We start from the raw sequence: 19,043 nt of genomic DNA, 5'->3' as shown, positions 1-19,043 counted from the left end.
AGAGCAGGGGGTATATTTTTTCCTGGTTGACCAGTGGACACCTCTGGTATTATTCCACAAATAAGGGATTCTAAATCAAAGGTCAAAAACTGGTGTCCTGAAGACTGATTCTGACCTCAAAATCAGTCAGGAAACTGGTTTTGTGAGACGGGCACTGCTTTTTGAATATTCAGATTTGTGTGCCTCCAGAGAGTATCTGCTCTCTAGTTTGGGGCAGCCCCTACCATTTCTTATGACCTGTCTCACCTCAGGAAGCAAGTGAGTCTGCAGTAACTTCCCCTTTCCCACCACTGGCCCTCAACACACCCACGTACACAGGTCCCTTCTCCTAGCTGCAGCAATAGACTCTTCAAAGCCGTATTTATACCAGAGAAATAGTATTTCTTCTTTCAGAGAAAAGCAGTGCCAATTTTTTTGTTTTTCCTTCTGCTGTCGGTCTAGGTACTGACGTCCCTCAAATGAATAATAAAACAGCCACCATGTGGGGGCTATTTTATTAGTCATTGATGGGACCTCAGTACCTCATTACCATGGGGCTACTTACATGGTGTCTACACTGCTTAGCTATACACACTCTCGAAAGCTTTGAACGTCAAGATTGTTCTCTTTCTCTTTTGCCTTTTCTTGAAATTAATGTTTGTATAGATTTTTCTCTAATCCCACTGCACACAACAGTGTGATTATTTATCCTATCCAAGAAACCTCTCAGTTATCAGAGAAGAGGAAATTTTTTTCTTTCAAGTTACATCCAAAATAACTATCATTTAATGTGCACCTACCATATTCTAGTCCCTTTCATTCATTATCTCATGTGATCCTCTTAATACCTCATTTTACAAATGTTATTACAGTATTGAGGTTTGGAGAGATTTGTCAACTTGCTCAAAGTCATACAGCTATTAAGTGAAAGATCAGCAGTTCAAAACCAGTGATGCACATTTCCAAGCTCTTATCACTCAAACCACCTCACAGATCTACTGCAAAAAGTAAACTAGACAATGAACATGAAGCTATTCTGCAAACTGTAAAGTGCTGAGGATAAATGTAATGTGGTATCATTCTGTCTAGCAACACCTTGATCATTGACTTGCCCCTTTCTGATGCTCAACAATTAGTTCCTTATACTCCCTTAGGCACCAATCTTGGCAGATCTTGTCCCTTTGTAACTCTTTGTGTTTGAGGGTTTTTGCTTTGTTCAGAGTATCACGTTGGGTAGCCATTCTGAGAAAGTCATGAAGAAATGGTCTTTGCAAGAGAGAATCACCACCACCACTGTCAACATAAACATTAACTATTGGATACTTAATAATGGCCAGCACTGCACTAAACATTTTACATATATTGTCACATCTGCTGTTTATAATAACGCTGGGGAAAATGTATTTCCCTCCCAACTCCTCATTTTACAAAGGAGGAAATCAAGGTGCAGTGATGTTACTTAGCCAGCTTGGAGTTGCACAGTGGAACAGATCTATCTTAACCCAGAATTTTTCTGTTATGGAGCCTTTGAAGGCCACAGTGCTCCTAAAAATGTCATTTCTGAGGCAGCTTTATTTCTTGTCAACGTCTAGTCCAGAGGTTTTCAACTCTGGCTGTATATTAGCGTTACCTAAGGAGATTTTGAAGTTGCAGATGCTAAATACTCAGTAATTTGTAAAAACTCTTTGGGGGGTGCTCAGCTGGAGCCAGGGCTAGAAACAAGTGGTCTCAGTTAATGCCAGCAAAAATGAATCAGGGCCAGGAGAAGGGAAAGAGGCTGGTGCAAATACCTACAGCCAGAGGGAATGCACAGAGGGTTCACAGTAAGAATATAGGAAACCCAGAAATATTATTTACCCAATATGTCCTTTGAGGTGTGTCAGTTACTAATCTGGGGCTTCCACATTCACCCGTGTCCTTCTTGCCTTACTTTGTGATCCTGGTGGTCTCTGTAAGCTACAGCTCTCCTTTGCCAGCCTCTCTATGCTAGGCTCTGCCAATAGAGGGCGCCAGAGGGAGCCTGGGAGACTGGTGGATGAAAGGTTTTTTGTTTTGTTTTGTTCAGTTAGCAAGCCAGCCCCTCTGTGGGCATCTGGCTCCTGACGTCTCCCTAACTCTCGTGGGCAGTTCCCCCATCCCAGGATGGCTTTCTGCCCGTTTCTTTCTTGTGCAGCAGCCATGCCCTTGCCATGGTCTTAGTCTTGAATCTCAGCCTTGCAGAGCTCCCCTCTCAGCAGAAAGTCCCTTCCTTGTTCACGTTCCCTCTATCCCAGAGTGGAAGTCATTCTCTGTAGTTGCTACTCACATTACAACTCAGGGTTCTCTTTCACCCTTTCACAAAACCATTATGCAGTTAACAATTCCTTAACTTTTCCCTGCTCAAATTCTTGCTTTGGTCAGTTGCCTCAACTGGACCATGGCAGGTATATTGGAACACTCTCTTTATAACTCTGCTGTCAGATCACAAAGTGAGATGAAGGAAAAGTTTGCACAGGCTCCCCTCATGAAGCCTGGGAGAGCATGCCCCTTTAAGGAATGGGATCCGTTTCAATGATTCTGGTTAAGAAAAGGCTGCATGAGCTACTGGCGTATTTATTCTGTAACCAACCGCTAATGCCAGACTTTTTCTTTGCTTTCATTGCTATATCACAATGGTAAAAGAATTGACTTAATTAATTTGCAGCCTGTACATAATGAGAAGAATATTTCCTGACAGCTTTATAGAGAGGATGATAGTTACATAACATTAGTTACATAATATATAATTTATAATTTATTTTCTATAAAACTCATTTAATAATAATATCACTTATATAAGTAGATGCTTGTATATCTATCTGCTTTATATTTATTCTGTTGGTTGTGGTGGCAGTGGAGGAAAAAAGGATATCTTCATTATTTTGTCTGTGTAGCTTTTTTCTTAGGATAAACCTACTGGCAGATTTTGATAAAGCTGTTCTGATCTAAGTTAACAACGATCACAAAGGTTATGTGGGGACTGTGGAGATGATTATGGCGCAGGACCTATGAGAAAATTCTAGGGGAAGAGCAGGTCTGCCACTGCTTCTACTCATTTGCATTCACTCATTCATCCGAATATTTATTGAGTGAGCATGCAATGTCTGCTATGTGCCAGGCATTGTTCTAGGAGTTAAAGATCTAGCAGCTTGCAAAAGAGACCAGCAGTCCTGCCCTCAGGAATATACATGCCAGTGCTTCCTTGGGCAAAGTCTTGGAAAGCCATATATGGCCCCGACAAACTTGGGTTTGTCCCAAGTGGGAGGCTACTTGTGCCCACTGCATTTGGTCTCGCAGAGCCTTAAGGATGTAGGTCTGATTACTCATCCTGGAAAGTGCTACCTGTGCATGTGGTGCCAGCTTCAGTGGAGAAGCCTTTGAGTCTGGGGTGGAAGCATGAAATCCTCTTTAGAGAAGGGGATACTCTTGCAGAAGACTCATTTTGAAAGAGTATCTTCACAGCAGATTAGGAAAGCCACACCTGAATTGAAGTGAAAAAGAGACACAGGCATATATAAAAGTACAGAAAATGCTAGACTTGGGGATGTGGGAGGGGAGAGATAGAAAAGGGCAGGTGACTCAGGAAGAGAAATCGCTTCTATACATTGGTCTTTTTGAGTCTCACCACAGCCTTGACAGGTAGGTAGGCAGGCAGCATTATCATCATGTTACAGATGAGGAAACTAGGGGAAGTGACTTTTCCAAGGCCACACAGTGAGAAGTGGACCCCAGGTTTCCCAAGTCCAGTGCACTCTCCATTGTACCATGCAACTCTCATGATGATTGGCATGGATAATTGCAGAAATTTAGGAGAGGAAAAATGTAACATACGGTGATGAGAATGATGCCGCAGAAGCGAAGGTATAATGGAACCAAATATACAGACAGAAGCATACCCTTCCTCATAACTTTGATCTAGTCACTACTATAAAACCTTCACATGAAGAAAACAACTTAGCAGATCCTTTCTAAACATTTACCAGCAAGAAATGGATTGCATGAACCCACAAAACTTGCCCTGGCTCTCCTTACCTCACCATAACAGTGTCATGGTGCTGACATCTTATTGCACCGACATGCCTGAGGAAATACCAAAGTGAGAGCTGAATGTAGTCACGTTTCTGCTACTCTACAATTTGATCTCCCCACTCTGCTTGCACTGTGTCCCTCCCCATTCTCCCTATGAAATCAACAAGTACACAATTTTTCCTAGGGACAGGAAAATGTACCAGATTCTTGGCGAAGTCATTGCCTCCTGGTATTTCAGGCTCTAAATTATTTCTACGTCATCCTGTAGTGTCTGTAAGGTGGTCATCCCCTCTCTCCCACATCACTCCACAAGTCACTGCCATTTCTATTTAATCGGAAAAGAAAAAATGAGGGAGGGAGTCTCTAGGCTGCCATGTAGCCGCTAGAGGAATTCATGTCACCCTCCCCAAACCAGCCTTGGCCACCGGGAAGCTCTCATGCCGTATTGAATCCGAAGCGCGTGGACCCTTATTATCAGAAGATGAAGCTCCCAGATTCACCCAGCATCACTGATCTTGTGCCCTGCAGTGGGCCCTGAGCCATAGTGGCTTTTACCTTCAAGGGTGAACATCAGGGAAGTGGGATTCAAAGAAGAGATTGCAAAGCAATTGAGGGGAAAGGAAAGGTGAAGGCAACAGCTCACTTGGGGAGAGAGGTCTTCTCAAGAGAGTTTGGAAAAAGGATTGGATGCTTCACTGTATGATTTTGTGAGGACTGGCAGAAGGGAGGGTACAATGAAACCAAATATAGATACAGACATCCTTCCTTCCCTATGATTAAGTCACCCATCCCAGTAGCAAAACAAAACAAAACAAAAACATAGAATGCCAAATCTTCCTCTCCTTTTCCACATGGAGGTGAATGTCAGACATGGGTCAGGTCTCTATTTTTAATTCAAAGCTTTGTCTTCCTACTTAGTTTTCTTATTTAACCTACTTCAGGCCTTAACTTCATCACCCTGGCATGAGAATCCCTAGGAAGGAAGATGACAGGATTCTCCAAATTGGCAGGATCAGACAGACACCATGACCCCAAGGGAATGCTTTCCAGGTTAGGCAGGCTGTCCCCCAGGCCTGCCTTCAAGGAGGCCCTCCCAGCTCTCCTGTCTAACTTTTCATCCTAAGAATGTTGGCTCACAAACCAGAGGGGGTCACACCATGGGCCTGGAGGCTGTGTCAATGTGCTGATGCTTCCGGATAGATCACAGCCATCTCTTGTACCAGCTTCTCCCCCTGCAAAGCCTGGACCCAGGTTCTCCTTTAATCTACATGAACTCCTTTTAGCCACTCTGCCCATCAGATTAGAGCCCTGCTTTTCAGGGAAAGGGGCACAAAATGCCTCCAGTCTTTCACCATCTCCATAGCAAAGAGCAAAAAGCTTCACTTCTTAGCATCTTGTGGGAAAGTAATAGGCACTGTACTCTTAGCTTCCATTTCACAGCAGCGACTGCATTCACATGGGGCCTGGGCTCTGCAGGCCACCTTCAACCCATTATAATTTCCTGTTCTTTTCCCAATTACCCCAAGTCAATTGGTCCAACGCAGACTCAAAGCTTAGCCTTTGCAATTTAGATGCCACAGGTAGCTTCGTGTTTGGATGGTAGAGAAAGGAAAAATAATAACCTTGCCTTACTCAGGCCCCTGCCATGTCCCCGTGTCCTGGAGCGGCGCAGCTGTGTCTCTTGGACCCACTTAGTGGCCTTTGTCTCCTCTCACAAGTGCCACTTCTTGCCCGGTAGAGGCTGGCAAGAGTGAAACCATCTGCATAGAACAGAGCAGAGCTGCTGAGAGCCAACAGCGAGAAGGGAGGGGTGCACAAGAAACCAGAAGGGCAGCAGAGGAAGGCTCACAGGGAGAGGGTAATTCCATTAGCTGGAATCTGGCCTGATCCAACATAACCCCACCTCCACCCCACCTTACCTTATGAATAGCTCGGCAGGACCTTAATTACACTCCTAACATAATAAGTACTTTATGTGGATGGACCAACTGTGTTTCCATCACAGTCCCTTTTAGGCCAGGAGTTCAATGTACATAACAAACTTTGTTTGCCATTAGACTTTTATGCTGCAGAGCAGGTTGGTGAATATCAACATTACCCAATTCCAACAGAAAGGAGAAACTGAGGAACCCATTGGTTCAGGCACTTGCCTAAGGTAAGTCAGAATTCGGAAGCACTATGAAGGTCTTTTGACGTCGAAATCGATGTTCTGTTGCCCAGCACATCACCGCACAGCCTGTTGTGTGTAGCTCTAAGTCTCAGGTGTTCTAAAAGATTACAGAAAAGATGGACAAAGTGGGAACAGTTGCTTACTTTAACATCTTAGTCCTAGGGCTTTCCTACTCAAAATGAGGGTGAACCAGTGGGTGCATCCACATGGCCTCTGCAAATTCTCCCTCCTTATATGCCTTTTCCCTTCTCCCATGCCGAGGCTCAAAGTCTGGGTCAGCTTTGACTCGTTGACTCTCTTTGTCCCCACTCCAATATGCATCAGTTTCCAAGTCCTGTTAAATCTGCTTCTGAAATACATCTAAATGCTCTCCCTCCTTCTGAATTAGGCCCTCTGTATCTCCCTAAGGAATGAACGCAATGAAGTCCTGAAGGATCCACTCCCCTCAGAGTCCCTCACACCCATCCATCCTTCAAATCTGCTCAGATGACCTTCTTATGACACAAAACGGTCCTGGCCATTCGGCTCCCCAGGCCAGCTATGGCTTCCCACTGCCTGTGAATGAGCATGAACACTTCCCCGACATCGTGGGCTTGTTTCCCCTTCTGGCTTTCTTGTCTGGGGTTCCCTCACACACCAGGAGCTGAAGCTCACTTAGTCTATTTACTATTCTCCAATCGCATCCCATCCTTCCCTACTTTCACGCAGATACTCCCATTTGCACTCCCAATACCCCAAGAAACACCATCTCAAATGTCACCTCCTCCTTGCAGCCTTTTCCAGTCACCCTAGCAATGTGGGCTCCTCTTCCTTTGATGCTCACATCTCTTTTATGCCACTTGTTTTCTACCTGATCTCAAGAACACAGCCTGACTGGACGGTCCTGAGTGACAGATACCTGCACTAATGCCTCTCTGCACTCAAGGGTGTGAGCAGAGGCTCTGCATAGAGTACAAGGTTAAACAATGTAAAATTGGAAGCTCTTAGGCAAAAAATGCAACTTTGCCTTTTTTATATGTTTGTTTTCCCTTTCCATTCCCTCCTTTCCTTCCTTCCAACAAGTATCTGAGCATCTACTATATGCCAGGTAAATTCTTGTGACTGATGGTACAGCAGTGATCGGATCTGACAAAAATCCCTTCCTTAGTGAAGTGTGAGATCTGGTGAGTGGAGGCAAATAAAAAACAAACATGTAAGATGTTTACTGTGCCAAAGAGTAATCAATGCTATGGAGAAGAGTAAACAGAAGGAAGTGGGGAGAGTCCAGGGTGAGTGGTCAAGGAGGCCTCCGAGAAGGTTCCACATGAGCAGAGTGGGAGAGAGCCATGAAGGATTCTAGGGGAAGAGCATTCTATGCAGAAGGAACGGCCAGTGCAAAGGCTCTGTGAAAGGGATAATGTGGGGGTGTGTTGGGGAAACAGGAGAGAGGAGGAATCGTATGTATAACATTCTCTTTTTCTCTTTTACCCTTGCTGACTTCTAAGATTGGTGCACCATCAGGGCAGACAGAATTGATATTACTCAGGTTAATGGCTTAGACTGGTTAAACCCAAAGTTGGAGTGAAAAACCCAAATTTAGAGTGGAGAAACCAAAGGGAGTGGCAGAAACCCCTGTAGCCTAGCGAAGGGCAGTGAGCACACCCCTACATGTAAGAGGGTGGTGTATCTGTGTCTACAGAAGAGGGATGACCATGCCAGCAACAACCAGGCTGTTTGGAGATGCTACTGCTGGATTCCTATGTTAACATCTGTCGGGGGCTAAATTTGGGTTCCTTTTTGACATTATGAGGAAATATCTTACTGATGGCCTGTCCTGCCTGTGTTCCTTCCTGGCCTTTGACTTGTCTGGATATATCTTTATTCTCAACCTCTTCCATGCTGACAGTTTTGGCACAAAACCCGACATCACTGCTTAGGCAGGCCCAGTCTGCGCAAAACTGGGAATTGTCTTCAGAACTCCATGCTACTGGGTCAGTCTATCTCAGGTCTCTAAGTTAGCCCTGGGAGTGACGGCTGGAATGCAAACAACCCTACTGGAAGTTTAAGGCACACACTGTCTTTTGGTTTAAGGATTCTCATATTCAACGTAGAACACACTTCAGTTTTCCATCTCACTGTAGCATCTAGTACCAGAACTTCTCACCCCACCAAGATTTCAGTCCTGATGGAAAAGTAGACCTGGAGCATTTTCATGTTTGCCTTCATGAGTGCAAAAGTCAAAATAACCACAAAGATGTGACACTGCATATTTATGCTATTGTTACTCCCATTTTATAGGTTAGAAATTGTTAAGTAAATTATCGTGTAATATTCTGTGAGTCTTTGTGTTTGTCATTTTAAGGTAAGTATTAAATGATTGTATGCTTAGGGACTATTGGGATAAGAAAAACAAATATCGCCGGTGCAGTGGCTCAGGCCTGTAAACCCAGCACTTTGGGAGGCCGAGGCAGGTGGATCATTTGTGGTCAGGAGTTTGAGACCAGCCTGGCCAACATGGTGAAACCCCGTCGCTACTAAAAATATAAAAGTTAGCTGGGTGTGGTGGTGGGCACCTGTAATCCCAGCTACTTGGGAGGCTGAGGCAGGAGAATCGCTTGAACCCAGGAGGCGAAGGTTGCAGTGAGCCGGGATCATGCCACTGCACTCCAGCTGGGCAGCAGAATGAGACTCCTCTCAAAAAACAAAACAAAAAACAAAAGAAAAACAAATATTTATGGAGCACTTAGTGTGTGCCAGGCAGTGGAATTGATAGTTTCCATTTTCAGGTTTGATGTTTCCATAACACCACGAAGGGAGTAGCATTCTCATGTTCACAATGGAGGAAATAAGGGCTCAGAGAAGTTGAGGAACTTTACCAAAGCTACACAGCTAGTTGGTGAACAGGGGATTTTGATCTATATTAGCTCCATAGTTAGTGTGGTCTTGCAACACCCACAGCTCTTGAGTCTGGGGAAGGAAGAGACTTTAAAATGTGGGAAGAACTGAAATCATAGGCTGATGTGAAAAAGAGAGTGCTGGGACATGTGGGTAAATGGTCACCCCAGTAATGGGGCTGCTGCCTCTGGTGTGGGCCAACAGCACACTGAGGGGCTAATCCCCTCAGTGGTCAAAGAAGCCTGGATCCAGAAATAGGCAATAAGAAGATGGTGAAAATACAGGAACATGGGAGGTTGTGAGCATGGCCATTTTGTTTCACCCAGTTGAGACTCTGGATGATGTGGTAAGTGTGAGGCGCGACTGCCCACCGAATGGGAACGCACAGGCCCTATCGTCTCCTCCAGGCTTTCATGCCATGGATTAGATTTCTCCTTGACTTGAGTCACACTTCCCACATACACAATTAAGCCAGACCTCTCCCATCATGAAAAATGTCCTCCCTGAATCCTGGTTGCACTTTTAGCCATTATCAGATCTCTTTTAATTACCATTATAGGCATGTCTCTGAAAAAGTAGCCCACAGTCTACTTAACTTAGTTAACATTTATTGAGAGATAATTAAGAGCAGACACTGGGCCAAGTGGTTTATGTTACTTTTCTGTTCTCACAACTACCCAGTGACAGAGGTACTATTGCCATACCATTTTATGGACTAGTAAACAAAGACCAACTAAGATTAAAGAATTTCCCAAGGCTACACAGAAGGAAGTGGCACAACTGGTATTCATTTCCAGGTCATTTGAGAATGTAAGTAAGCTTTATAAGGGAAGGGATTTTCATCTTCTCTCATTCACTGATGTATCCCTAGGACTGAGACAAATGCCCCAAACACAGTGGGTATTCAATCACTGTTAGTTGAACAAATGAACCTGTGATGGTATCTCCACTTAATCATGATGCCAGGCTGCCCACTGATCCTGTGGCCTTCCCCTCTGCTGCATTTTCTACAGCTGCATGACTGTTTTCCTCTTCTGCAGTCCCATTTTCCCCTGTGGGATTCCCATGTCTCTCTAATGCATTCTCCTTCCCCTTTGCTGCATTCCATTTCCCACTCCTGCATTCCCATCTCCCACTCCTGCATTCCATCTCCCTCTGCTGCATTCCATTTCCCTCTGCTGCATTCCATCTCCCTCTGCTGCATTCCATCTCCCTCTGCTGCATTCCATCTCCCTCTGCTGCATTCCATCTCCCTCTGCTGCATTCCCATCTCCCACTCCTGCATTCCATCTCCCTCTGCTGCATTCCATCTCCCTCTGCTGCATTCCATCTCCCTCTGCTGCATTCCATCTCCCTCTGCTGCATTCCATTTCCCTCTGCTGCATTCCCATCTCCCACTCCTGCATTCCATCTCCCTCTGCTGCATTCCATCTCCCTCTGCTGCATTCCCATTTCCCACTCTTGCATTCCATCTCCCTCTGCTGCATTCCCATCTCCCACTCCTGCATTCCATCTCCCTCTGCTGCATTCCCATTTCCCTCTGCTGCAATCCCATTTACCATTCCAGCATTCCCATTTCCCACTGCTGCATTCCATCTCCCTCTGCTTCATCTTCCCATTTCTGACTCCTGAATTCCACCGCCCTCTGCTGCAATCCCTATCCCACTGCTGCATTCCATCTCCCTCTGCTGCATTCCCATTTCCCACTCCTGCATTCCATCTCCCTCTGCTGCAATCCCATTCCCCTCTGCTGGATTCCCATTTTCCAATTCTTTATTCCATCTCCCACTCCTGCATTTCCATTTCCCATGCCTGCATTCCATCTCCCTCTGCTGCATTCCCATTTCCCTCTGCTGCAATCCCATTTACCATTCCAGCATTCCCATTTCCCACTGCTGAATTCCATCTCCCTTTGCTGCAATCCCATTTTCCACTCCTGCATTCCCTCTCTCTGCTGTATTCCCATTTCCCATTCCTGCATTCCATCTCTCTCTGCTGCAAACCCATTTTTCTCTGCTGCATTCCATCTCCCTCTGCTGCATTCCCATTCCCCACTCCTGCATTCCCATTTCCAACTCCTGAATTCCGTCTCCCTCTGCCTCATTCCCATTTCCCACTCCTGCGTTCCATCTCCCCCTGCTGCATTCCCATTTCCCACTCCTGCATTCCATTTCCCTCTGCTGCAATCCTATCTACCACTGCTGCACTCCCATTTCCCACTGCTGCATTCCATTTTCTTACTCTGCAATCCCCTCTGCTGCATTCCCATGTTTTCCACTTCTGCAACCCCATTTTCCTCTGCTGTATTCCCATGTCCCTCTACTACATTCTCAATTTCCTTTGCTGCATTTCCATTTCCCTTTGCTACACTCCCCTCTGCTGCATTTCCATTTTCCACTCATGCATTCCTATTATCTTCTGCTGCATTCCCATTTCCATCCCTCCATTTCCCCCTGATGAATTCCCATTTCTCACTACTACATTCTCTCCATTGCCTTTCCCAGTGCTGCATTCCCCTTTCTCCATTTCTCTTCTCCTCTGCCTCATTCCCATTTCCGAGCGCTCCATTCCCATTTTCCACTAACACATTTCCCTCTGCTGTATTCTTATTTCCCACTGCTGCATTTCCATTTTCCACTGATGCATTTCCCTCTGCTACATTCCCCTTTGCTGCATGTTTCACTGCTGCAATGATAGGCTGTTCATTCTTGCAATCCAGCTTTCTCCCCACCTCCCTATGCTTTGCCCCACCCCTAAACTTGGCTCTGATCAAGCCAGTGAACACTGCAGGCTTTCTCTGTTATTTGATGCTGTTGAAAATTCCTGGTTGAAATTTTCTTTCCTTTGTGGTATCCATAATGGCAATGATTCCCAATTATCTTCCTGCCTCTTGAGCTGATATATACAGGGATTTTTTTTTCCTATCTTAATATGTTACTCCTCTTCAGCTCACCTCCTACAAATAGGCAGGCTCTTCCTAATTTAGCGCTCTTATTTTTATTGCACACACACACTCATTTAGATCTAATGCTCTAACTACCAACTATAACCTATAAGCTCCAAATCTATACCTGTAACCAGATCCATGTCTGAACTCCAGAGTAATATTTCTGCCTTCCTGTTGTAATTTACACCTGAAATCTCTTGGTGGCCTCAGATGCAACCTCCATACAATAGAATGTATTAGTTTGTCCCCCATACCTGTTCATTCTCCTGCAGCTCTTGTCTTGGCAAATCACACCACCATCTGCCTGGCCCCCCAAAGCAGACTCCAAGTGCCATTGTCCACACTGAATAGACACTAACTCCAGTCCCTTCTACTACCTATCTCTCTCAAACCTGGCCCTTGTCTTCAATCCACTTCCAGGATGGTTCACCCTGTGTCATCCCCCGGCCTACACAACACTAGTGCTCTCTTTCCAAAACGCTGCACTGTCCATCATTCAGCTGCCAAACATTTGTTCGTAGCTCCTTGTCACCTATGGAATAAATTCAAAACTACTTGTATATCATGAAGATCTTCATAATCAATCCCCACTCATTTTTCCTGCCTCATGTCCCATGAGTACCACATGCTCCACTATAGCTGCATTTTCCTGAACATACCAGGATCAGCTACTTGGAATGTTCTCTCCCTGCCTCCCAGCCCTACCCTGACTTCTCCAGCTTCTCCTTCCATGTGAAATCCTGATCACTCCAAGGTGCATTGTCAGCATCATCCCCTCTTTGATGTCTTTCCTGACCCCTTTCCCTTCAGGCACAATGAAGAGCCTCCTCCCTTAGTCCTCCCCCAGTGCCTGAGTCATTTTTCCCTTTCAGTGCTATGACACTGAATTTTAAACTGCAGGCAGTGCCCATCGTGAAAACTAAGCACGGTCCTTAGCTCTCACTTTTAATGGATCTTTTATAAATAAATGAGTTGGTAAGTAACTAAATGAAAGCAAGAATGAGAAAAACTGAATTCAGGGTTCTACCTACCAAAGAGTTGCTCGATCAGTGTGATGTAAATGAGAACAGATCTTCTGGTAGGAGAGTGATTTGCTTCAGAGACAGTTGACTTCTCTGAACTTAATTATATTTCTTTTTCAATTAGAATTGTCTTAACTAATCCTCCAGCAATTCTGTAGCTGAGTTACTTGTAACTCAGAAGGGAATATGTCATTTAACTTATGCTCAACACTGTGTAATTACAGCAGCTTCAGTGCATGTTATTTCCCATGCACACCAGTTAGGATACTTCTTTCTTAAAGAAATGAAACTTGATCCAGTGGTTTAGGAGAATTACAGGAGGATTGTGAATCACTCATCGATTCAAGCAAGGGAAAACAGTAAAAGCATTGGTGAGGGCATCTTTTTCCTGCCTATGAGTCTTAACCTGTATGTAAGTTGTAAAATCAATTTAGGGAGTTCCATTTAGCATTTAAAATGAAACAGAATAAAATCAAACGGGAAGTACCAAAGTATATTGCATATAGTAAAGGTAAGTATTAATTTGTGAAACTTTAATTTCAGATGCACATGTGTGTATGTCTTTGTCATGGGCTGTAGTGTAATATTCTTACCATGTGTCATAATCAAAAAGTTAGAAAACAGTGGTTAAAAGCATTTATTGAATTTTACTGATAATTAGGTCTGCTGCCAGCTCCCTCTGTGACTTTGAACAATTGTTTAACCTTAAACAGGAATAACAACACCCACTTCTTAATGCTATTATAGTGCTTAATGCTTATCACAAAGTATTATATGAGATTTAATATAATTATATATATTTATATAATTATTAATTAACAGTGATATGTTACATATATTACTATTATGGTCTATAATTAATAACTGGACTGGTCTCAAACTATTAACCTCACAAAGAAGTGAGAATAGATTTGCTGTAGTGCTGGTTCATGGATATATGAGTCTAATGTGGAAAATATAAAATGATATTTCCTAATGTGTTGAGTTCACCAATTCAATTCAATAGTTGTTTACTGAGCATCTACTACACAGTTTCTATACTTAGGAAATTAGAATCTATATTTTTCCTGTTTCTACTGGCAGGAAGGCACTAGGCCAAGCCTGGAACAGAATACCAAGTTGCAGGGTTATACTTCTTGCCCTTGAGCACTTAAGACCTAGTAAAGTATCTAAGACACGAAAACAAATGTCTCATTAAAAGGCAATATATAATATATGAAGAGTAAAAACGGTACCACAAGAGAACAAAGGAAATAACTTCTGGCTAAAGACATCACAGTATGGGAAGATGGGGTAACAAAGGTGGTTCTATTTGAGGAAGGACATGAAGAATGGGTACTATTCAAATGAGAGAAGACAGGAGAAAATGTATCCTGAGCAAGGCGAGGAGCATGAAGTCTATCACGAGAATTATAAGAGGTAAGAATGGAAACAGAGAGCAAACTGGGTTTTATGCCTTTGCCTTCATTAACACTGATAACTGCATCTTCTCCAAAAGTTTTTTCCCAGCATCTGAGCACCATCTCCCATCCTTTCAGCTCAACTTCTTGTTGAGTGCTTTGACCTAGAATACCCTTCCAGTCCACTGAGGCTGCCATTTCCCCCATTGCCCCCACACATCTTCACTGTCCTATCTCCAGCCAAGCAACATCATCATACTCATTCCCTCACAAGCATCATGAACTCCTTTGCCCTATTCTCTGTCCAAGAACTTGCCAGGCAATGCCAAAGCCTGGTTAAACAAAACTGTGTGGCTATTCTGAGCCTCCTCTGTAATTGGTGAACTCTGAAGAAAAGTGTATACTGGGCTGTTTTGCCTTAAATTCATGAACACACATTTTAAATGGCATTCAAAATTGATGAATGGCAATCCTATAACACTTCCATAGTATCTCAACTCTCGCAATCTTCGAGACTACTATTTCACACTTAGTCGCTGGAGACAGTTCAAACAATTGTTCTGTCACTTACCAGCTATGTGAGTTTAATCTTGATGTGCCTTAGTTTCTTCACATGTAAATATGTACCTATATGGTTTCCTCATATGAACCACTATATAGGATTATTATGAAAATTAAATGGGTTAATAGATGTAAAACATTTGTGTACTACCCAGAACATGGTAAGTTCTATAAAAATATTTGTTATAATTATTGTTCTTCTCTCTCTTTAAAGTCCCCTATTTCTTTTTCTCTTTTCACTTAATTATTGACCTTATCTCATACTTTATTTGGAAATAAGAACAATTGAAGCCAGGTATAGTGTGCATGCCTGTAGTCCCAGCTACTTGGGAGGCAGAAGTGGGAGGATCGTTTGAGCCCAGAAGTTCAAGGCCAGCCTCAGCAACATAGTGAGATCTGTTTCTATTAAATAAATAATTTTAAAAAAATGAAATTTAAAAATAGAAACAACTGGGAGAGGACTCTGGAAAGATGAAGGAGTGGGAAGCACCAAGAATCTGTCTCCCACCTAGACAATGATAGCACAAAAGAATTCTGGAGTTTTTTGAAGACTTTCAGCTTCCAGGGAAAGGCTTGCATAGTAAATTGCAATCAATTGTGGTCAATTTCAGTTGTTAGTTTAACAGTAGCTACCCATCTCCTACTCCCAGCCCTGTGGCAGGCAATTGTGCACATGTTCCTGGAGCAGCCTGCATGTAGCTTGCAGGAGCCAGAGTGGGCAAAAAGGACCCTGTCCTTTAAATATCAGGGATGTATGCCCTGACCACTGATTGCTGCTTCTGATAACAAAGTACAGATACAGAAGCAGTTGGCCATTTTTGTTACACCTTACCCTATTGTTACAAGTCCTTCCCCCACTGACTCAAGTAACTTCCAGGGGATTTAATGAGAACAAAGAGACAGTGTACCAGAATCTCTGCGACACAGCTAAAGCAGTGTTAAGAGGGAAATTTATAGCACTAAATGCCCACATCAAAACTAACAACCTAACATCACAACTAAAAGAACTAGAGAATCAAGAGCAAATAAACCCCAATGCTAGCAGAAGACAAGAAATAACCAAGATCAGAGTGGAACTGAAGGAAATAGAGACATGAAAAACCCTTCAAAAAATCAACAAATTTGGGAGTTGGTTTTTTTGAAAAAAATTAATAAAATAGACCACTAGCTAGACTAATAAAGTAGAAAAGAGAGAAGAATCAAATAAACATAACCAGAAATTATGGTTCTGGGGGATATCACCAGTGACCCTACAGAAATACAACCATCAGAGAATACTATAAACATCTCTATGCACGTGAACTAGAAAATCTAGAAGAAACGGATAAATTTCTGAACACATACACCCTCCCAAGACTGAACCAAGAAGAAACTGAATCCATGAATAGACCAACAAGTTCTGAAATTGAGGCAATAACAAATAGCCTACCAACCAAAAAAAGCCCAGGACCATACAAATTTACAGGTGAATTCTATCAGAGATACAAAGAAGAGCTGGTACCATTTCTACTGAAACAATTCCAAAAAACTGAAAAGGAGGGACTCCTCCCTGACTCATTCTATGGGGCCAGCATCATCCTGATACCAAAGCCTGGCAGAAATATGACAAAAAAAAGAAAACTTCAGGCCAATACCCTTGATGAACATTGATGCAAAAATCCTTAATAAAATACTGGCAAACTGAATCCAGCAGCACATCAAAAAACTTATTTACCACAATCAAGTTGGCTTCATCCCCAGGATGCAAGGTTTATTCAACATACACAAATCAATAAATGTAACTAATCATATAAACAGATATAAAGACAAAAACCACATGATTATCTCAACAGACACAGAAAACGTCTTTGATAATATTCAACATCCTTTCATGTTAAAAACTCTCCATAAACTAGGTATTGAAGGAACATACCTCAAAATAATAAGAGCCATATATGACAAACCGACAGACAATATCATACTGAATGGGAAAAAGCTGGAAGCATTCCCCTTGAAAACCAGCACAAGACAAGGATGCCCTCTCTCACCATTCCTATTCAGTATAGCATTGGAACTTCTGGCCAGGGAAATCAGGAAAGAGAAAGAAAGTATTCAAATAGGAAGAGAGGAAGTTGAATTACCTTTATTTGCAGATGACATGATTCTATATCTAGAAAACCCCGTCATCTCAGCCCAAAAGCTTCTTAAGCTGATGAACAAATTCAGCAAAGTCTTAGGGTATAAAATCAATGTGCAAAAATCGCTAGCATGCCTATACACCAACAACAGCCAAGCAGAGAGCCAAATCATCAGTGCACTCCTGTTCACAATTACTACAAAAAGAATAAATACCTAGGAATATAGCTAACAAGGGAAGTGAAGGACTTCTTTAAGGAGAACTACAAACCACTGCTCAAGAAAATCAGAGAGGACACAAACAAATGGAAAAACATTCCATTTTCATTAATAGGAAGAATCAATATTGTAAAAATGGCCATACTGCCCCAAATAAGTTATAGATTCAATGCAATTCTCATTAAACTACCACTGACATTCTTTATAGAATTAGAGGAAACTATTTTAAAATTCATATGCAACCCAAAAAGAGCCTGAATAGCCAAGACAATCCTAAGCAAAAAAGAACTAAGCTGGAGGCATCACACTGGTGGACTTCAAACTATTCTACAAGGCTACAGTAACCAAAACAGCATGGTACTGGTACAAAAGTAGATATATAGACCAATGGAATCGAATAGAGAACTCAGAGATAAAGTTGCACATCTATGACCATCTGATCTTCAACAAACCTGAAAAAAAACAGCAATGTGGAAAGGATTCCCTACTTAATAAATGGTGCTGGGAGAACTGACTAGTCATATGCAGAAAACTGAAACTAGACCCCTTCCTTATGCCTTGTACAAACATTAACTCAAGATGAATTAAAGACTTAAATATAAAACCCAAAACTATAAAAAAAGTAGAAGAAAATCTAAGCAATGCCATTCAAGACATAGGCACAGGAAAAGATTTCATGACAAAAATGCAAAAAGCAGTAGCCACAAAAGCAAAAATTGGCAAATGAGATCTAATTAAACTAAAGAGCTTCTGCACAGCAAAAGAAACTATCGTCAGAGTGAACAGACAACCTATGGAATGAAATAAAATTTTTGCCATCTATCTATCTGACAAAGGTCTACCATCCAGAGGCTACAAGGAACTAAAGCAAATTTATGAGGAAAAAAAAAAAAAACATTAAAAAGTGGTCAAAGGACGTGTCTTCTCAAAAGAAGACATCCAAGTGGCCAAAAAACACATGAAAAAAAGCTCAACATAACTCATTATTGGAGAAATGCAAATTAAAACCACAATGAGATACCATCCCATGCCAGTCAGAATGATGATTATTAAAAAGTCTAAAAACAACTAGTGGTGAGGTTATGAAGAAAACGGAATGCTCTTACACTGTTGGTGGGAATATAAATTAGTTCAACCATTGTGGAAGAAAGTTTGGCAGTTCCTCAAAGATCTAGAGACAGAAACACCATTTGACCCAGCAACCCCTTTACTGGGTATATACCCAAAAGAATATAAATCATTCTATTATAAAGTTACATGCATGTGTATATTCATTGCAGCACTGTTCACAATAGCAAAGACATGGAATCAACCCAAATGCCCATCAATGATGGACTGGATAAAGACAATATGGTACATATACACCACGGAATATTATGCAGCCATGAAAAGTAATGAGATCGTATCTTTGCAGGGTCATGGATGGAGCTGAAAGCTGTCATCCTCAGCAACCTAATGCAGGAACAGAAAACCAAATACCACATGTTCTCACTTATAAATGGGAGACGAATTATGAGAACACATGAACACAGGGGAGAAACAACACTCACTGGGACCTGCCAGGGGTCGGGGGAGAGCATCAGGAAGAATAGCTAATGGATGCTAGGCTTAATACCTAGGTGATGGGATGATCTGTACAACAAACCACCAGGGCACACATTTACCTATGTAACAAACCTGCACATCATGCACATGTACCCTGAAATGTA

General features: G+C 42.6%; 3 annotated features.

The window, feature by feature from the left end:
* Nucleotides 2,981-3,275: a silencer, noted in NCBI's record as "tiled region #1907; HepG2 Repressive non-DNase unmatched - State 23:Low, and K562 Repressive non-DNase unmatched - State 24:Quies". NCBI's record gives its function as "represses a minimal TATA promoter and a strong SV40 promoter by Sharpr-MPRA in HepG2 and K562 cells {active_cell/tissue: HepG2 | K562}" and the evidence as "EXISTENCE:reporter gene assay evidence [ECO:0000049][PMID:27701403]".
* Nucleotides 9,611-10,603: an enhancer, noted in NCBI's record as "OCT4-NANOG-H3K27ac hESC enhancer chr12:13679281-13680273 (GRCh37/hg19 assembly coordinates)". NCBI's record gives its function as "activates a minimal SCP1, AML or CMV promoter by ChIP-STARR-seq in primed H9 embryonic stem cells {active_cell/tissue: H9 hESC(primed)}" and the evidence as "EXISTENCE:reporter gene assay evidence [ECO:0000049][PMID:30033119]".
* Nucleotides 10,061-10,355: an enhancer, noted in NCBI's record as "tiled region #1480; HepG2 Activating non-DNase unmatched - State 23:Low". NCBI's record gives its function as "activates a minimal TATA promoter and a strong SV40 promoter by Sharpr-MPRA in HepG2 cells {active_cell/tissue: HepG2}" and the evidence as "EXISTENCE:reporter gene assay evidence [ECO:0000049][PMID:27701403]".

Source organism: Homo sapiens, chromosome 12 (genome assembly GCF_000001405.40).
Source record: "Homo sapiens chromosome 12, GRCh38.p14 Primary Assembly".
Classification (NCBI taxonomy): domain Eukaryota; kingdom Metazoa; phylum Chordata; class Mammalia; order Primates; family Hominidae; genus Homo; species Homo sapiens.
This window is presented reverse-complemented; position numbering and strand designations above follow the sequence as displayed.